This window comes from Homo sapiens, chromosome 6 (genome assembly GCF_000001405.40).
Source record: "Homo sapiens chromosome 6, GRCh38.p14 Primary Assembly".
In the NCBI taxonomy this organism is placed as follows: domain Eukaryota; kingdom Metazoa; phylum Chordata; class Mammalia; order Primates; family Hominidae; genus Homo; species Homo sapiens.
The window spans coordinates 168242615-168262938 of NC_000006.12; the positions used below are offsets into that span (position 1 = coordinate 168242615).

Genomic DNA, 20324 nt, shown 5'->3' on the forward strand with positions numbered 1-20324 from the left:
TTTGTGGAAGACAAAAACCAAACACAAATCCACCACATACATGTGGGGTTACAGCATCGATACATCAGTTCTCAGGCCAGCTTTCCATTCCTCGGATTCCATGTTTCTTCAACAAGCAGGTCCCAAACATGTTCTGCTGAAGAACCGTGGCCTTTGGGTGATATTCCACAGAGCCTGCTCAAAAACAGGGCCAGGGCTAAGTTCACTTCCTTGGGCTCTGGAGTCAGCATTCTAATTGTGGAGTCAGCATTCTAATTATTCTAATTATGGTGAGACCTTCCTCTTCTCTCAGGCCTTCGCCCTTCACCCACCAAGCCCTCGTCGTTCCTCTTCAACCCCAGCATCCCCCTGGGTTCCTGTGCAGGCCTCGGCTTCCAGGAACCCTGCCTTGGAGTGTGTGTGTGGCTCTGTGACCGGCAAGCAGGAGGCCACGGCTGTCCCACCCTCAGGGCTCTCACATGGTGAGTGGCTTGGAGGACACCCTCCATGTGGAGCTCAGGGCCACCACCCCGACAAGGCCTGCAAGCGTGGGCTTGTGCCTATCACTCATGCCTTCCCAGCTACCTCGGCCCAGTGAGAGTTGAGCACTGCGCTGAGCGCTCACAGCTGGGTCCCAGGATCCAGCTCCGTGAGGCTGCCCAACGCAGAGCAGAGGGCAGAGGCAGCCTGGGTGGCCCAGCCACTGCCCCAACCTGAGGTCTCCCAGCAGCACCAGGTCTGGAAAATGCGAATCCCAAGAAACATAAAAGAAACCCTGAGGATCACAAAGAAAGCTGCGCTCTTGAGAAACAAATACATAAACAAAAATAAAAAGGAGAAGAGAAGCAAGTTCGGCTTAGGTAAGGAGACGAAAGAAAAAATCTTTTATTTATGATCAAACATGCAGACTCCTCTGAGAATGTGCAACACAGGCACCTTTTTCCCCTTTGCCTGCGTGTGCAGCAGTTCTCATCAAGAAACAATTCTCTCTCTCTCCCTCTCTCTGCCCAGCCTTCCTCTCCATCCTCTCTCTCTCCCTCTCTCTGCCCAGCCTTCCTCTCCTTCCTCTCTCTCTCCCTCTCTCTGCCCAGCCTTCCTCTCCTTCCTCTCTCTCTCTCTCTGCCCAGCCTTCCTCTCCATCCTCTCTCTGTCCCTCTCTCTGCCTAGCCTTCCTCTCCATCCCAACAAGAAACAGTGCATAGCAGCAAACAATGGCACTAAGGAAAGAAATCAAACTCTTTAAAGATTCCACAAAATACTCACTCTGTCCCCCACCCCACCTCCTATACCAGTTTTGCTGTGAATAATTAATGCTTTGGGTAGATTTTTAATCTTCTGAATCTGAGCCCTTGACCTGAGCCTTTGGAAATGAAGATGAACATGTAACCACTGTCATGGAGAGGGCCCCTTTTCTGTAGCTGAAGGTGAGGTTCCTGGAAGCACAGGGCCCTTGTTTCACCCTCAGTGGGAAGGGGGCTTCCTGGAAGCACAGGGCCCTTATTGTTTCACCCTCAGTGGGAAGGGGCATTCCTGGAAGCACAAGGCCCTTGTTTCACCCTCAGTGGGAAGAGGGATTCCTGGAAGCACAAGGCCCTCGTTTCACCCTCAGTGGGAAGGGGCATTCCTGGAAGCACGAGGCCCTCGTTTAACTCTCAGTGGGAAGAGGGATTCCTGGAAGCACGAGGCCCTCTTTTCACCTTCAGTGGGAAGGGGGATTCCTGGAAGCACAAGGCTCTCGTGGGGAAGGGGGGGGCACCTGCTGCACCATCGGAGGTTTTCTTTTTCATTCTCACTCATATGAACACAACACAGGCACCTTTTCAGTGTTTGTAAACTACCCTTTCTATTCCGACCATACATGTGAACACTTCCATTACTGGGATGGTCCAGTCTATTCCAAACATACATGTGAACGCTTCCATTACTGGGATGGCCTGTCTATTCCAACCATACGTGCGAATGCTTCCATTACTGGGATGGTCCCATCTATTCCGAACGTACATGCAAACGCTTCCATTACTGGGATGGCCTGTCTATTCCAACCATACGTGCAAACGCTTCCATTACTGGGATGGTCCTGTCTCAGCTGAGCTTCACTTTGGGCAAAAGCTGACATTTCCTGGCTTTGTAAGATGGTGAGAAAGACTTAGTTAATCCCAGGGTTGGATGAATTTATGAAAAAAGAAGTGAGTGGGGGTGGTCTTAATAGATTCTACAACTTTCTGCACAGTGAGACAGATTTGCCTATTATTTTTCTGATTTTGAAGAAAAGATTAGTTCTTAAATGAAGAGGTGGTATTTTTTATAATGAAGAGGTTGAGATGCTACAGCTTTATACACACACCCCTCCCCCGGCAAGTCAGTACAAATGCTTTACCCCTTCAACATAAACTCCATTTTCCCGCGTAGCTCTGCGCAGATTCTCGAGGAGACTGCTTCCGGCTCAGGGACGCCAAGTGCAGCAGCCGACGCTGCAGAGGCTCTCGCGGACAGGGCCAGGGGTGCCCGCCCCATCAGGACAGCACCTGAGTTATGGATGACGATCCCCTCCATATAGAAACCAGGCAGTGCCAATATTTCGTGGTTCCTCAATTATCTACCCCCTCCCCTCTGGGCCATCCCCAAAAGCGGGCAGATCCAATCATGCAGCCCCATCCCCACTCTTGCCACTGTACCACTGCTCACTGTCTAAGGCCCCTTAGCGTGGACCCAGTTCACAATTTCACAGATGAGCTTTGGCCTTAGTACACAGGATGCTCTCCACAGGCCTGGCTGTGTGTGCTGTTACTGAAATGGAAATAACAGCTTACGGACTGAAGTTGGTTTACACTACTTGAAAAATTCAGTCAAGCTTGGAAACAAAACCTTGTCTGTTAACATGTACACACCAAGTTCAAACAATACTGGCTCCAGTGCTGAGTAAACTCAGAGCCCTTCAAAGCTGCAAGGCTTTCCGCAAAAGTACATGGCTCAGAAAAAAAGAAACCCTGAATCCAATTCACACAAAAATGCGAAAGCCCCGGGGCAGCCGGCTGTCAGACTAACCTGCACCCGAAATTTCTGGATAGAGTAGATGTCTTTGGGATGTTCTAACCTGCACCCAAAATTTCTGGATAGAGCAGCCTTCTTCGGGATGTTCTAATCTGCACCCGAAATTTCTGGATAGAGCAGCCTTCTTCGGGATGTTCTAATCTGCACCCGAAATTTCTGGATAGAGCAGCCTTCTTCGGGATGTTCTAATCTGCACCCGAAATTCCTGGATAGAGCAGCCTTCTTCGGGATGTTCTAATCTGCACCCGAAATTTCTGGATAGAGCAGCCTTCTTCGGGATGTTCTAATCTGCACCCGAAATTTCTGGATAGAGCAGCCTTCTTCGGGATGTTCTAATCTGCACCCGAAATTTCTGGATAGAGCAGCCTTCTTCGGGATGTTCTAATCTGCACCCGAAATTTCTGGATAGAGCAGCCTTCTTCGGGATGTTCTAATCTGCACCCGAAATTTCTGGATAGAGCAGCCTTCTTCGGGATGTTCTAATCTGCACCCGAAATTTCTGGATAGAGCAGCCTTCTTCGGGATGTTCTAATCTGCACCCGAAATTTCTGGATAGAGCAGCCTTCTTCGGGATGTTCTAATCTGCACCCGAAATTTCTGGATAGAGCAGCCTTCTTCGGGATGTTCAAAGCAACTTTCAGGAATTTTCAATCATCAGAAGCAACCCCCAAAGTGGCCATTATCGAATGATTTTAAAAAGATACACAGTTGGGAGTGAACTGAATATTTATTACTCCTTTCATGAACTGAATCTAATCTGCTACAAACCATTCTTCTATTTAAAGCATACTGTATATTTGAGAGGTAGGAAAAACAGTTTATCAAAGATGTAATCCAATATTCACTTACGCAGCTGAATACAACTTGTAGCCTTGAATGACCACTGAGTGATTTTCCTACAACCAACGCAGTGTAGGAGGGTTGGGGCAAGAAGGTGGATTTCTTTTGAATCTGAGAAGCTGTGTGGATTGAGGGCATCACACCTCAGCTCTCAGATGCCCAGAATCACAGGAACACACCATCTGATTCCTCCTTATTCGTGTGGCAGCTACGACAGCTTCAGATGTGCACAGCACAAGCACCGCCCCTAACATTTCCACTGTTATCTGTAAACCATAAAAGCAGAAATGCAACCTGCACATCATGGGCTTACACTCCCAGGCTCCCCAAGCCTGCATCTCAAATACAGCCTCGAATCCAACTTTCAGCCAGAAACATGGAGGTGGAGGAGGGTGAGCCCCATTTCATAGAGGAGAAAATGTAGGCTCAAAGGGTGACACAGAACTGAATCCACTGCTGGATGTCTCCAAAGTCTGTGTTAATTTTTAATAGACCATGTTGCTTCCCAATTAAATCAGAATTACTTCTAGGGAGTTGGTAATTCTCATGTCTGAGCATCAGAGTTGTTCATGTTGCATTGTTACAGTGACACACCTAGGAGATGCACAGGGAAAGCAGTGCATACACATTGGGTGTGTGTAAATTTGTACTCCACTCTATCTGCAAAAAAGGCTCCTGTAAAATATGCACACAATTGTATCCTGAGCCCTGGGCAGTGTGTGAGGTGTAATTGATGCTGTAAAATATTTTTGATAAGGTATTCAGAGTAAGACATTCCATACAGAAAGTCCTGTTACTTTATATTAAGATTCTATAATTCACGGACTGGAGAGATGTTGCTTAAGAGCTGAACATTCTATGGAATTTAAGAGTCTTTGGGAAAGTTATTAATTTGTGAAATGCAGTGCTGTTCTGAAAAGCACAGCTCCAGTTATATACACCAAATTGTGCCTATTCGCTATTTTTTCACTGATGAATGAGGTGAGAATGATCGAAACAAGAATAACTTATTAGAGTTGTCGCTATTACAACTTAGTTTTGAAGTAAAGTGCTGATGCTAGAAAACCTGAGCTCTGTTTCTCACCCATCGCTGGCTCATAAAGACTATCTTAGTGTTATTTGCTCAATGGGGGATTTCCTGCACTGTTTACATAACACTGCGCTTTTATGACGAGCTCTGTAATTATTTTTAGCCACCTTAATGGCTCTCAGAGGAGAGCAAAATCCTGGTGTTCATGGGACAGATGGAGGGTGAGCGCCAGGGAGGTCAGCGGCTCTCGCGCTGCCATTTCTCTGCAAGCTCAGGAAATTAGTTCCAGGGCTGGACTGCATCCAGGGATCGACATCAGCTCTCTGGGCACCGCCCTCACGCCACTGTTGCCTTGCAAAGGGAGGTTGTGAGGCTTTGATAATGCCAGAGAGATGGCTGCTCTGTCAGGGCAATAAAGGCCTGAGGCATAATTGTGGAAAGGGAGCTTTTCAACCCTCGCTGCTGGCTTCGGCTTCCGCAGAGCCACCTGATGCCAAGGAAGAGGGAATTCAGGATTCCCCCCACCCCACCATGTCACGTCACTGTGGACAGCCCTCATCCTGGAGAAAACTGGCTGCCAAGCAACCCCTGCTCCTTGCAGATGTGGGCATGCACCTAGCATTTCCATTGCTATGTAAATCCATATCACAAAGTCCACAGAGTATCCTTGGTGTCAAATATGTCAAGTTTGGAAAATGCCGTTGGGTAATGAAATCAATAAGGTAACAAATAGAAATAAAAATGTATATTGCAGCGCTTAGATCAGACATTTCTAGATAACAATGTTTAAACTGGAAACCTCAAATTGTTGTTAAGTTAGAATAAGCAAACCTCACATAGTTTGTGGTTTTAGGCTAGAAATAATTGCCGCATTAGACCAACAAACAAAGAAAAACATACTTAGAAGTCCCACCAGCCTAGAGCTAAGTAGGTCCTTGAGGTGGGCTTTGACCCGCTGGCTGTGTTTCCTGGGGTGCCTGTGCGTCCTGGGCGGTGGTGAAACCGGCTGCCTTGGTGCCTGGGTGGAGGGTGACTGTGTTCTTACTGACACCATCTGGAGGTCTGATGCCGAAGAGCCCTATGCCTCCCCCAGCCCCCAAAGGCCGTTGATTGGAACTGGCCTCTTTGATGACTGGCGGCTTTTCCTGGGGCTTTGTGGTGGCTTTTAGAAGGATGGTTACTGACTGGTTGGAGGATTATTTTTCTCCTTGCACTAAATTTTTATGAGAAAAAGAATATACAGCAATCTTTGCTGTTCTGCAGCCCCCGCTGGTGATACCTAGGCAAACAGGATCTGGAGTGGACTGCCAGCAAACTCCAACAGACCTGCAGCAGAGGGGCCTGACTGTTAGAAGGAAAACTAACAAACAGAAAGGAAGAGCATCAACAAAAAGGACGTCCACTCAGAAACTCATCCAAAGGCCACCAACATCAAAGACCAAAGGTAGATAAATCCACGGAGATGGGGAGAAACCAGTGCAAAAAGGCTGAAAACTTCAAAAACCAGAATACTTCTTCTCCTCCAAAGGATCACACCTCCTCACCAGCAAGGGAACAAAACTGGACGGAGAATGAGTGTGATGAATTGACAGAAGTAGGCTTCAGGAGGTGGGTAATAGCAAACTCCTCCAAGCTAAAGGGGCATGTTCTAAGGCAATGCAAGGAAGCTAAGAACCTTGAAAAAAGGTGAGAGGAATTGCTAACTGGAATAACCAGCTTAGAGAAGAACACAAATGACCTGATGGAGCTGAAAAACAGCACGAGAACTTCATGAAGCACACACAAGTCTCAACAGCCGAATCGATCAAGCAGAAGAAAGGATATCAGAGACTGAAGATCAACTTGATGAAATAAAGCATGAAGACAAGATTAGAATACACGGATGATTGCTTTGAAAAATAAAGCTGGTTCATTGCCACACAGGATCTAAACCTATCAATCTAATGACTTACTGAATTATTGTAAATATTTATATATGATTTCATGATTTTATTAAGTCATTTGCTCAACACACAATGAGGGCTCTCCTGTCCCAGTGGGGCAGAGTCCAGGTCACAGTCTCCATTGTAACTAATCCTCCACGCACAGTTGGGTTTCTGCCCCTGTCCATTTTAATGGCCCTAGACTCACAGTGCCATTTCTGCTCTGAGCCTAAGCTGCTCCTGGGCAGGATGTCCTCTCCCAACTGCGTGAGGCTGGTGCAGTGCACAGCACTTGGTAGGTGGGAAACTATTCTCATGAATGAATGAGTGAATAAAATGTGGGTGCCGTATGGTGCCAAAGTGCACCTGTCCATGACGTATGTTTGTTGTGAACAGGAGCAGTATCCAAACATCATGAGGTCTGTGCTGTCTTAGTTCAGGGATGGGAAGTCGCTCCCACAGAAATCCAGGGGAGCTTGCATTGGCTATGACAGTGTGATGGGAACCCACGTTTCCACAGCGCAGTTCCGCTGGTATAGCTCAGCCCTGTCGGGGACGCCTACACTTCAGGAAGACAGGAGAAGCCAGTGCCTTTCCCATCTCAGAGCCTTTCCCGTCTCGAGGACTCTCGCCCAGGGAGGGACGGGTGTGGGGGGGCCCGGATCAGTGCAAGCCACTGTCTGGGTTGCTTACATCTCCTGGGCTTCTTTCCCTCCCAGAACCTGCTCTACCTACCTATGAAGGCTGCAGGGAGCTTCATGCAGCTCAGGAATTTTTCCAGACCAAACACAAAGGTGACAGATGAGAAGAACCTGAGGTGGCAGTTAGGGAGGACTGTGGGTTAGGAAGGACTCTCGGTTAGCAAGGACTGTGGGTTGGTTCGTGGTCTGGGAGGTGAGGGCAAGAAGCCTGGGCAGCCTGGAGGCGGCCACTGCTGAAACCACCCCAGGTCTCAGCTTCACTCAGCAAGCACTGTCTGAGGACCTCCCAGCACCCGGGCTGGGCAAGGCCCAAGAGGAACCGGTGGGCGGTGATGAGAAGCCACCTGCCACGGCTGGAGCTCTGTCTGCACAGAGGGCTTTGCTCACAGCCTGAGAATCAACGTTGGCTCTTCCACAGGACGAAGGCACAGACTCGCTGCTAAAGGGGACGGACACACCAGCCAGGAGACAAAGGCTTGTGACTTTTATGGCCAGAACATAACACAGCTTTGAGGTTTTTTTTTTCTTTCAGATTTAGAAAAGAAGGGCAGTCAACAGGCCATCACTTGCCCTAACCTTTTGTCTCAGAGGTAGCCTGGAGATCCCAGACATGAGGACATGGACGCATGCCCCATCCACCTCAAAATCTCACGGGTCCAGAGCTCTCAACCAAAGGCCAAGCCAACCTTCGCTCATCTCGTAGATCAGCCCCTCCTGGACCCCTCACCCAGATGGGAGCTCCCGCCAGAATACAGACTCTGGAATCCAGGAATTCCCATCCTGAGCAATAACAAAATCACCCCAAAAAAGAAGGTGGCTTCACCATGCCTTCCCTTGGAAAAGGCATTTTGCTGACAAATGTGTGTTTTTTAGTTTTCCCTCAATACCTCACTGCTCTAAATCATCATAAAGAATTTTAATTGCTGTCAATAAGTAGTTTTGAACATGGCTTCCCAGAATGACTGTGTATTTTGACAAGTTTCAAAAAAATGCCTTACCCTTTCTGACCTTAATTTTTTCTCTACTCTTAATACCTTAAAAATAGCTATAGTTTTATTACTATTATATCAGTAGTTCTGTTATTTATCATCAGATCAAAAGCAAATGTTCTTTGGGAAGAAGTCCTTGATGCATTTATTAAGTGAAAAACTTACTTTACAATAGTTTCATCATCCAGTTCCTCATTTGTAAGTATGCGCATGCTTCAGTGTTTGAGTATTAGTACCTAGAGCAAAATGGGAGCTGCTGTGTCTTCTCTGGCTAGTGAGACCACAGAGGTTTTCCTTTTCCTTCCTTCTCTCCCTTTCCATTCTCTTCTCCTCCTTCTCCTTCTCCCCCTTTCCATTCTCTTCTCCTCCTTCTCCTTCTCCCCCTCCTTCTTTGCTTACCTGTACTTTCTAAATCTTCTACAATGATTACATATTCTTCTGTAATAATAAAAAATCAAACTGAAGAGAATGTTTACGCTGAATTGAAAAATAGAAAAAGAGAATCAAAATATCCGGGACTTTAAGGAAGTGGCGTTTTTCTTTTAATCATGTACCTTTTCTCATTCTTTCTGTTGATCATCATCATCTTAATGTTTTGTAGTTATAACTATTTAATTGTTCAATCTCTTAGCAAACTTACAAAACTAGATTGCACCTCAAGTGACAAAGCATGACCTAAATTCTTTGAATTCTCTTTCAATCTTTTGTGGACAAAATTGAGAGAGCAAATTAAATGGACACTCAGGGTTCTGGAGCATTGCCTTCCCATCAAACACTTTATAGTAGGCATTCGATCTTTCAATATCACCAAAGGTTTTGCCCTTTATGACCTGACATAAGACTTCCCAAACTCTCATGTGCGTCTGAGCCACCTGGGCTCTTGCTAAGATGCAGGCTCTGATTTGGAAGGTCTGGGGTGGGCCTGGGATTCTGCATTCTAACAAGGTCCTGGGTGATGCTGGCCAGTGGACCACGCATTGCTCTAACAAGAGCCCAGAGATTAGAGGTGGGCATCTTTCCATGAAAATTCCTTCTCCAGAAGGCCTAGAACGTCTTTGTTTTAGTGGAAAACCTAGAATCATATAAAGGAAACCTGAAATATGTGTATGCTGTCATTCACTGACCTACACCTTAGAGGCTGTATGAGGGGGTGATCATTAAGGTTTCTAGTTTTAAATTGAGAACTGGATTTGAATGCGAGCTTGTGGGAAAGCTTGGACAGCCCTTCACCTCTGTGTCTTGATTTCTTCCAGAGTTGCTCTTGCTGAGGTGCAGGGTAGAGAAGTGGAGATGGGGCAATGCCCACACAGCTGGCACAGTGCCCGCCGTGGAAGGCACCCTCACCCAGTACCAGTGAGAACCACCACAGGCTGCTGGACACGAGCTCCTTCCTCTTGGGAGCCATGACCTTGGGCCCTTCCTCTGGTCTCACACTCAAGGCTCCAGAGCCACATGAGGTCATTTTCAGAGAGGATAACCCCTCACCAGCTGGCTCCAGGTCCTTCAGCAGGTGTGGATGCTGCTGGAGAAGGTGCTGGAGAGACATAGCTTTGGCACAGTAGGTCCTCACTGGACATCGGGGATAGGCTTTCGATGTAAGAATTATAGAAAGAGGAGAGAAACACGAAGCGTGTCTTTTTTTTTTTTTTGAGACGGAGTCTCGCTCTGTCGCCCAGGCCGGACTGCGGACTGCAGTGGCGCAATCTCGGCTCACTGCAAGCTCCGCTTCCCGGGTTCACGCCATTCTCCTGCCTCAGCCTCCCGAGTAGCTGGGACTACAGGCGCCCGCCACCGCGCCCGGCTAATTTTTTGTATTTTTAGTAGAGACGGGGTTTCACCTTGTTAGCCAGGATGGTCTCGATCTCCTGACCTCATGATCCACCCGCCTCGGCCTCCCAAAGTGCTGGGATTACAGGCGTGAGCCACCGCGCCCGGCCACGAAGCGTGTCTTAACAGTCAACATTTCAAACCTGGGAGGGACCTCTGGCCAAGTTAGGTCAGAAGCTGCACTCCCTTACAGACTAAGAGTTTTTAAGGATTTAGGGAGGGAGAGTTTATCAGAGGCTTGGGCTGCTTCTGTGTTTCTTTGTTGTGCTTCTTTGGGAGGGAGAGTTGTGCCTTTCTGCAGCTGCAGGCATACAACCCCCCACCCCACCCCTGAGTATGCCTTTAGCTTCCCTATCTTAGTGCACCGGAAGGGAAAGCAACGTGCTTATTAAGGCCCACTGTTTTACTGGGGCCCATTGTATGAGGGTGAAGTTTGGCCGTTACCCAAGAGACTTTCCCCCACCTCCCTTGGTGCCAGAGCTGTCTTATCTGTGTTTTACTGTCTGCTCTTTCTGGCTGCTTGTAGTTAGAAGAGAAGTGATTTCCTTGAAATGCAGGAGGCTGGAAAGGGAACTGGAACTAAAAGGGGCAGGGCTTGTCCGAGATGATGGTGCTTCTCCTGCTCTGACACTCGGAAATAGCAACTTGAGGTGAAATGACATAAAACAAAACCAATTTGCCATCGGTTAATTGACAGAAACAAGAGTTACATTCCTACAACGTATTTCTGGCCAAAAAACATTATCACCATACCTCGAAACAAAGACCAAAACACTCCTCATATGAAACATGGAAATAAGTGTGAGCTATACAGACATTTAAGAAAGATTGAGAAAAACAAGTAGGACAATGATTTCCCTCTGACTCCAGGCCAGGGTGATGGGTGGCTGGAGCCTGTGCACATCTGTGGGATGTGGGAGGAACCCGGAGAGCCCTGAGCTCCACCCAGAGAGTGGCCCCGGTGGCAATTCGATTTTTTTCACATCAACGTTACACCAAAATGACATTGAACAAAATGACATCATCTGAGGACCTGCTGCATCTACACTGCAGGCCATGGATGGGCCTTCTGGGTCTCCCTAGTCCAGCTCTGTTCCCACAAGCAGCACGATGACCAATTCCTAACATCGCGTCAGGAAGCACAAGTTTCCAAACATAAGGAAAAGCTGTGTTTCCCTCTCTCCCCCAGGGGCTGTGAAGGACATGAACGGCCAAGCTGAAAAGCACCAATCAGGAGCAGTGTGCCCCTGTTGTGATAATACAAGTTAGGGTATGTTCAGGGCCCCCAGGTCTCACAACCACTGTCACCTCTGAATGATGAATCTGATACGTCTCCTCAACAAATAAATTGGAAATCAAAGCCATGTCTCTCTTTCTCATGGGCTTTTGAACCTTACTAATAAGGAGTATCAAGCATGATGAATGTGATTGGATGCTTTTCACTGTGTGTGATGCAAAGGGCACTTCACCAGGAATGAGAAAAATTGAGTTCAAGTGCTGGAATCAATATTAATTCAATGTGATGCTCAACTAGATGGTTCTCTCTGGTTTCTCCACCTGTAAACCAAGGTAATAGGACCAGTTGCTTCTCTCAATCTGAAGTGTTTAAGGACAGGTTTATGGTCTTGGTTTATAAAATTAAAACAGACTTTTTAAAAAGTTTTAGTTTTTGTTTTGTTTTTTTTATGAGATGGGGTCTCACTATGTTGACCAGGCTCAACATAGTGAGACCTGCCCAGGACAGGGTCTGCCTTGTGGGATGGGCTGGGCTGCCGGGACAGGCTCCAGCCACCCATGACCCTGGCCTGGAGTCAGTGGGAAATCATTGTCCTACTGACTCCTCAACCCAATCCAGGAAAACCACCTCAACCCAATCCAGGCAGACTACGAATGGCCCAGACCCTTCACATATGAAGATTTGGGTCACCCCGGCAAATACAGAATTGTGACCAGCTGAGGTCTTCCTGCAGGCAAATGAAACACAGAAGAAGGTCATTGTGAGTACCAGCTCTGCCCATCGGACCAGTTACAGAATCAAGGGCTGCCACTGTCTTGAGTGCTTCCTCTCTATTTTGCCATGAATATGTGGGTGTATCAAATATCTTTGTTTCCTTCCTTCTTTTGTCCCCTTTTTATAATAGCATGTAAGTCACAGGATATCAGGGAGATGATTAAATGCCACTAAAGGACTTTGCCTCCTCTTCTGGGGAGGGAGTTTGTGCATACTTGGTTGCATGTAGGATGGTTGTACCATTTTAGGCAAAAGTGTAGCCTTATTATTGTTTTTACCTGGAGATTGGGCATGGTGTAAGGAAATGTGTCTGGTGCCAAGTTGACATGGGATGGACTTGTGACAGTTAATTTTATGTGTTAACTTGGAGGGTGATTTTGGTGAGATTGATGTTACATTGTGAACTTTGGGTAAATCAGGTTGCCCTCCGTAATCTGGGTGGGCCTCCTGCAGTCAGCTGAAGGCCTGAACAGAACAAGAGGACGGCCTCCCCAGGCAAGAGGGGATTTTCCAGTGGACGGCCTTCAGGCTGAGCTGCACCATGGGCTCTCCCAGGTCCCCAGCCTGCAGCACACACTGCAGGTTTTGGACTTGCCAGCCCCCATAATCCTTGTAATGAATGACCCAATTCTCTCTGTTTATATTATGTATGCATCTTACTGTTTCTGTTTTTCTGGGGAACACTGGTGTCTACCCAAGCCAGCTGACCCATCCTCATGCATTAAGTGACCAAGGACAATGAGCTCCATCCTCTTCGGAAGGATGACTTTGGGTTCTTTGCTTTCACACTCTTAATTCATGTGCTTTTCTGGCATCTGGCTTGTTTCCTACTTATTATTCCTTAGACCTGAGGAAAGCTGTTGTTCAAGCTCTCACTGACCTGCTCCATGTGCATGCAAAGACCCCTGGAGCTGCTGTCCAGGCACTGCACCCCCATCTCGCTTCTCCTGAGCAGTCAGACAGCTCAGACACAGCCCTCTACATAGAAATAGAGGCATGGCTGTAGTGCAAGTCAAGGGCCATGTATCAGTCAGGATTGAGAAATAAAAATAAAATCTTAAGCCCCCAACTAACCGAATAGATCATCTCTTGTTCAAGAGGACCACAGAGAAACCTTGAAACTGAGTTCCTGGCCATGATAGGACAGGAGATCAGACATGCCTCACCGCCATTAGGCTTCCTTCCCTAAGGACTGGGTAGAAACCAGCCCTTTCAAAAGGCTCTGCCATTGATATCAATCAACTACCTGCCACTGCCCCTCCCTTTGCAGTTTTGACAAAACCACTGACCGCTATTCCTTCCTGACAGAGACCACTGACCTCAGAGTGGCTCTGGCCAGTCTACTGAGGATGCACAGTGAGTTTTCGTGTCCTCTACTTCACTTTTTGATATCACAGGGACAAAAACTCCACCCTGGGATTATGCTAATGTGGCCATTTTTGAACAGGGGACCCATAAAGGGGCATGAAACTCAATTGCACATGGATGTATTTCTTCTTTCATGAATATTCATGACTCCCCCCATAGCTTATTGAATATGTATATTTGGCCACCTTGCTCAATCAATCCCTGTCTTATTCTTCCCACCTTCTACATGTCTGTTTCTAGCTTCTGACTGGAGGCTACCCTTTCCAAGTGGTCAGAATGGCCACCTACAGGCTACAGCCCTTTATGAGAAATAAAGCTTTCCTTTCCAAACGTATGAATGTGGTCATCATTCAGTGGACAGAATCTCTCAGTTCAAAGTGATGGGAACTCATCCTGAAACAGGCTAACATGTTCAGCTTCCAGGTTAGAACCCAGGGGTGTTATGGGCTCACAGCTGAGCAGGGTCATAGGTGCATCACAGAATCAGAGGGAGGGGCACAGAATCAGGGTCTTGAGCCAGCGCCACTAATGGTGCAGAGTCAGGTTCCCTCTCTCTGTCTCCCTCTCTGTCTCTCTCTCTCTACGTCTCTCTCTGTCTCTGTCTCCCTCTGTCTCAATCTCTCCCCCATCTCTCTCTGTCTCTCTCCCCCTGTATCAATCTCTCCCTCTATCTTTGTTTCTCCCCATCTCTGCCTCTCTCTCTTTCTCCCTGTTTCTCTCTCCCTCTGTCTCAATTTCTACCCCATCTCTCTCTCTCCCTCTGCCTCTCTCTGTCTCTCTCCCTCTCTGTCTCTCTCTGTCTCTGTCTCTCTCCCTCTGCCTCTCTCTCTTTCTCTCTCCCTCTCTCTCTGTGTCTCTCTCCCTCTCTCTTCTGTCTCTCTCTCTCTCTGTGTCTCTCTCCCTGTCTCTGTCTCTCTCCCTCTGCCTCTCTCTCTCTCTCCCTCTGCCTCTCTCTCTCTCCCTCTGCCTCTCTCTCTGTCTTTCTTCCTCTGTCTCTCTCCCTCTGTCTCAATCTCTCCCCCATCTCTCTCTCCCTCTGCCCCCTCTCTTTCTCCCTCTGTCTCTCTCTGTTTCTCTCCCTTTGTCTCAGTCTCTTCCCTATCTTTCTCTCTCCCTCTGCCTCTCTCTGTGTCTCTCTCCCTCTGTCTCTCTCTCTCTCCCTCTGCCTCTCTCTCTCTCCGTCTCTGTCTCTCTCCCTCTGCCTCTCTCTGTCTCTCTCCCTCTGTCTCTGTCTCTCTCCCTCTGTCTCTGTGTCTCTCCCTGTCTCTGTCTCTCTCTCTGTCTCTATCTCTCTGTCTCTGTCTCTCTCCCTGTCTCTATCTCTCTCCCTCTCTCTCTGTCTCTCTCCCTTTCTCCTCTCCCCATTCCCCATTTGTCTCTCATGTTGTCATTTTCTTCTTGGCTTCATTCTTCAGACAATTTCCACATCCCTGGATGACCCACGCAGATTAGCACGCTCTCAGGTTAGTAACCCCAGGGAAAGACGATTCTTTTTTAATCTAGAAAACGTCTGTTTAAAGAATTCTTAATTCTGCCAGGATCACAAGTTTACCTGTCGGGGTGATCTATACAGTTGTGGAGGACTCTTCCATGATAGACGAAGGTCTAAACATGGCGGTGGTTTTAGGGCGTTGTGCTTGTTGAGGGGGCGACGGAAATGGTGAGGAAAAGAGTTCATTCAACACAGCGAGTTTGTGTCACTCAGAATCATGGTGAGGACCTGCAGGCATGCACGTGGACGCTGACCCATGGAGGGAATTGGTGTTCTCTGACCATCCCTTCAGTGCAGAACATCAGTCACAATTTAAGTTCTGTTTAGGTAAACAAATGACCTTTTCCTATGGGGCATTTTCATTTTATAAGGGTATGAGCTCATAGCAGGGCAAATCACTTGGTAGTTAAGACATCAGATGATGGTTCTCAGGGTGGCCCAGGCAGTAGGACAATCAGAGACTTTCAGCTGCCCAGACCCCTCCCTGGACAAGAGATGTGCATGGCGACCCCGGCCCCTCCCTGTCCATGTGACTCTCTTCTCCATGACACTGTACAAAGGAGAGAACGTCCACAGTGACCCAGCCCCCATCAAGTCACCCAAAGCTTGTGGGAAACAACCAATATGGAAAGATAAAAATTACTAAATGCAAAAGCTGCAGGGGAATGACAGCAAACACAAATAAATGAAATGAATGTCTTTAACTTAAACTACTTCTGGCCTCACTGTGTGTGCTTTATGGCTCTATGAGGTCATTTTTGTGCAAATAGGTGCCCAAAATTGGAGTGCGTTCAATTGACCATCCTTCAAATAAAAAGTGAGCGTATCCTAAAATGTAGAGAAGTCAAGCCTTTTTTTTTTTTGAGATGGAGTCTCACTCTGTCACCCAGGCTGGAGTGCAGTGGTGTAATCTTGGCTCACTGCAGGCTCTGCCTCCCGGGTTCACACCATTCTCCTGCCTCAGCCTCCCAAGCAGCTGGGACAACAGGCGCCCGCCACCACACCCGGCTAATTGTTTTTGTTTTTTTTTTTGTATTTTTTAGTAGAGACGGGGTTTTACCGTGTTATCCAGGATGGTCTTGATCTCCTGACCTTGTGATCCGCCTGCCTTGGCCTCCCAAGCTGGGATTACAGGTGTGAGCCACCGCGCCCGGCCGAGAAGTCAAGTCTTTCAGGACATACCTAAAGAAGATAGCATCCATGGTGCATGGAGCATGTGCCTCACCAGGCATCACCATACCCACCACAGCTCATGCGTGCGGATGCCTTTGCTACCCAGGACGGCCATACAAGGAAGCCATTGGGTCAGTCCTGTGCACAAACGGCATGTCAAGAAATTAAATGATTTCCTCAGGGCCCCGCAATTACCTTCAGCAAAGCTGAGATTCCCAGCCTTCTCTCCGCTCCCTGAGACTGACTCTGAATTGCTTTTCTGCTGGAGATGAAAACAAGAACAGAAACAGTGGAAACTAATCACATTTTTAAAAGTTTTACATAACCACTTAATTATAATACGCCTGCCCCAAAAGCACTCCTAACGTCCTAACACATGGTAACTTATTTGTTTAATTTTATAAGTATTTTCAGGGACATGGTGGGAGGGAGAGCATCAGGATAAAGAGCTAATGCATGTGAGGCTTAATACCCAGGTGATGGGTTGATCTGTGCAGCAACCACCATGGCATACGTTTACTTGTGTAGCAAACCTGTACATCCTGCACATGTATCCCGGGACTTAAAATTAAGTTTAAAAAAATAAAGTATTTATGGAAACATGGAGCTCTTTCTCTCTCTTTTTCTACTTCATAGAGTTTTCTTTCTTTCTTTTTTTTTTTTCCAGTACTTGTGATTTTTCTTTAAACCTCAAATATTATCGTCATGGAAGAAATACTCACAGTCCATCAAGCTTGCCTGTCAGGAGCATTTCCACCCTACAGACCAGCCATGGAGGCAGAGTGCAGCCCGGGTCTGTGGGTCACCAGGCCTCAAATGCCATCCCAGCGCCAGTGAAAGTTTGCTGTGTTCCTTTACACTGTCCCCTGTGGGCCTGGCTTCCCTGTGAGAAGGTGAGGACTTGGCTCAGCTCCTTAAGTTCCTGTTCAGCTTCAGGTTAGGACTCTATTAAATAACAACCCGACACCTTCAGATTCCTCCTCTACCCTCCATGAGATCAGCGACTAGCACCTTGTGCATCTCATTTTAGGTGCATTTTTTTTTTTTTTTTTTTGAGACAGAGTCTCACTCTGTTGCCAGGCTGGAGTGCGGTGGCATGATCTCGGCTCACTGCAGCCTCCGCCTCCCAGGTTCAAGCGATTTTCCTGCCTCAGCCTCCCGAGTAGCAGAGATTATAGGCACTCGCTACCACGCCCATCTAATTTTTGTGATTATAGTAGAGATGGGATTTCACCATGTTACCAGGCTGGTCTGGAACTCCTGACCTCAGGTGATCCGCCCACCTTGGCCTCCCAAAGTGCTGGAATTACAGGTGTGAGCCACCGTGCCTGGCCTTGGCTGATATCTTAACGTTCATATGGTACTTTTTCCCAGAGCCTGTCGTGCCCTGCGCAGCTCCCTGACCAACTGAGATCAGATCAGGGAGGTCGTTTGATCCTGTGTACACCACAGCTGACCGCGTGTGCAGCAGGACCCTCGGCATGCTCTCAGGAGCTGCAGTCCGGGAAACACAGGAAAGCTGTCGGCTGTGGTGGAGACTTCAGGCTTAGGTCCTGGGGGGATGGGTCCTCCAGTTCTCCCTCTGGGTCTCCGCGGGAACCCGGGTACTGCCTGTAAAGCCCCAGCCCTCCCCTCACTTGGCTTAAACCGCTGGGCATTTCCTTCCACAGGTTAAAGAGCCCCAAACAAAACACGCATTGAAACCTGCCTCCACAGCCCTCTCGGGCCTGCACAGGGCTGACCGGCACCCCTGGAGCCTGTCCACCTCTGGAAGGGCAGTTGCATGGCTCTGAGCACCGACGGAAACCCCTCGACCTGGAGAGGCCGCCTGCGTGGGGCCGACGTTGCACAGGCTGACCTTGTAGGGCGGTGGGTGGGGGATGCGGGGCAGGGGGCACAGCCCGGGCGCTCTTCCAGTGCTGGTTTGTCTATTTCATGTTGTCCACCCTGTCATCCACCAATTGTTCTTTGGGTCCATTGGTAATAATATCTCCCGCATGGATGGGCTCTTCCCAGAGCCTCGTGGGTGCTGAATGAAGCCCAAGGAATGGCCTTCACCAGACACTTTGTTTTGTTTTTTCTGTTTATAAAAGGCAGGGCCCAGATAGTTTCATTTTCACAGGGACATCTGTAAGCACACACTTTGATTTACACTGGGAAGAGCCAATGGTTCTCATTTACAGAGGGTCAAGCTCCAGGAGGGAGGCAAGGGGACGCTTTGGAAAATAAAGTTCTTCCTTTTACTCCTGTGGGCCTGATGTGCTCTGTGAAGTTCAAACACTGTATCGACCATCTCAACTCTCAGGACAGCATGTGACACCTCCATCACTGGGAGCAAACTCTGTGCAGGAGCACCTGATTCTGCCAGGGCAGGTAAGGAGGTGACGCCCCGCAGAGGCAGGTGATGTCCCGCGGAGGCAGGTGATACGGAGCTCTGGGGAGACCACCAGGGTGGGAGGGGAGAGCGCCAGGAAGGGCTGCTGTGTTGAAGCTGCTCCCATGCGCCCCGAAAGGGGGACGTCCACAGACAGAGAAGAGTGGGATCCCCTGACCACAGAGGCTGCCTTGGGCCGTGTCCCTTCTGGACATACAAATGCCCCATGGGCTGAGCCATGTGTATCCTACGATACCCCAGATATCCCAATAACCAGAGTCCCTGTGGGACAGCGAGTGAGGCTGAGGATGAACAAGCTTTGAAGCCTTTTTGAAAAACTACTAGCTCTCAAAACACAAAGTGCATTCAAACAAGAAGTTAATTTGTTATAACTTTTATGTTATAAAAGTGGATTTTTATGTAAGAAAAGGTAAGGATAAACTTAAATTATCCTATAATTGTGGCTATTTACTTGAGTTCAAACACTGAAAAGAAAATGAGAATTTCCTCTTTAAATTCCCTTTTCCCACGTCCTTCCAGGAAATTCACTCTCAGAAGCATGTTCCACTCAAGCGGACTTGGCCTGCGCTGTGAGTCAATGTAAAGAGGGTGTGTTGGCTTCGGCTGGTTGACCTTCAGAAGTCGGAGAAGGCCAAAGTCCCACTGAATAAACTGCAGATGAAAGAGACTCATGGGTCCTCAGAAGGAGGCATATGGCTGCTCTCGGGATCTTGACTTTTGAAATATTTGTTTAAAGCAAACACTTGCAGTGGCCGTGGAAAGCCTCCCGTTTCCTCTGGACCCTCAGCCTCTCCCTCGCAGGGCACCGGGCTCTCTCCCTCGGGGACAATGAGGCGAGAGAGGCTTTTGTTTATTCTTCAGGAGTCTCTGAGAGTTCACAGTCATGTTAAAAATTAACCTGGGGCCAGGCGCGGTGGCTCATGCCTGTAATCCCAGCACTCTGGGAGGCCAAGGCACAGGCGGGTCACCTGAGGTCAGGAGTTCAAGACCAGCTTGGCCAACATGGAGAAACCCCATCTCTACTAAAAATACAAAAATGAGTCGGGTGTAGTGATGGGTGCCTGTAGTCCCAGCTACTCAGGAGGCTGAGGCAGGAGACTCACTTGAACCCGGGAGGCGGAGTTTGCAGTGAACCGAGGTCGTGCCACCGTACTCCAGCCTGGGTGACAGAGTGAGACTCTGTCTCAAAAAAAAAAAAAAAAAAAAATTAAGAAAAAGAAAAAAGAGACCAAGCATGGTGGCTCATGCCTGTAATCCCAGCACTTTGGGAGGCCGAGGTAGGCTGATCACCTGAGGTCAGGAGTTCAAGACCAGCCTGGCCAACATGGTGAAACCACGTCTCTACTAAACGTATAAAAAATTAGCTGGGTGTGGTGGCGAGCACCTGTAATCCCAGCTACTCAGGAGGCTGAGGCAGGAGAATTGCTTGAACTTGGGAGGCAGAGATTGTGGTGAGCCAAGATCACGCCACTGCACTCCAGCCTGGGCGACAGAGTGAGACTGTGTCTAAAAAAAAAAAAAAAAAAAAAATTAGCCTGGGCTCACA

The 20324-nt window shown here is 48.1% G+C and overlaps 1 long non-coding RNA gene across 1 annotated transcript, besides 1 other annotated feature; it reads left to right on the top strand.

The window, feature by feature from the left end:
- Positions 1-323: 323 nt before the first annotated feature.
- LOC101929420 (uncharacterized) lies at positions 324-19964 on the top strand. Its single transcript, NR_110870.1, has 5 exons — positions 324-461; positions 16254-16762; positions 17051-17276; positions 18054-18756; positions 19298-19964. It is a non-coding gene; the product is annotated as an uncharacterized LOC101929420 (long non-coding RNA).
- Positions 5283-5783: an enhancer, noted in NCBI's record as "H3K4me1 hESC enhancer chr6:168648577-168649077 (GRCh37/hg19 assembly coordinates)". NCBI's record gives its function as "activates a minimal SCP1, AML or CMV promoter by ChIP-STARR-seq in primed H9 embryonic stem cells {active_cell/tissue: H9 hESC(primed)}" and the evidence as "EXISTENCE:reporter gene assay evidence [ECO:0000049][PMID:30033119]".
- Positions 19965-20324: the final 360 nt, after the last annotated feature.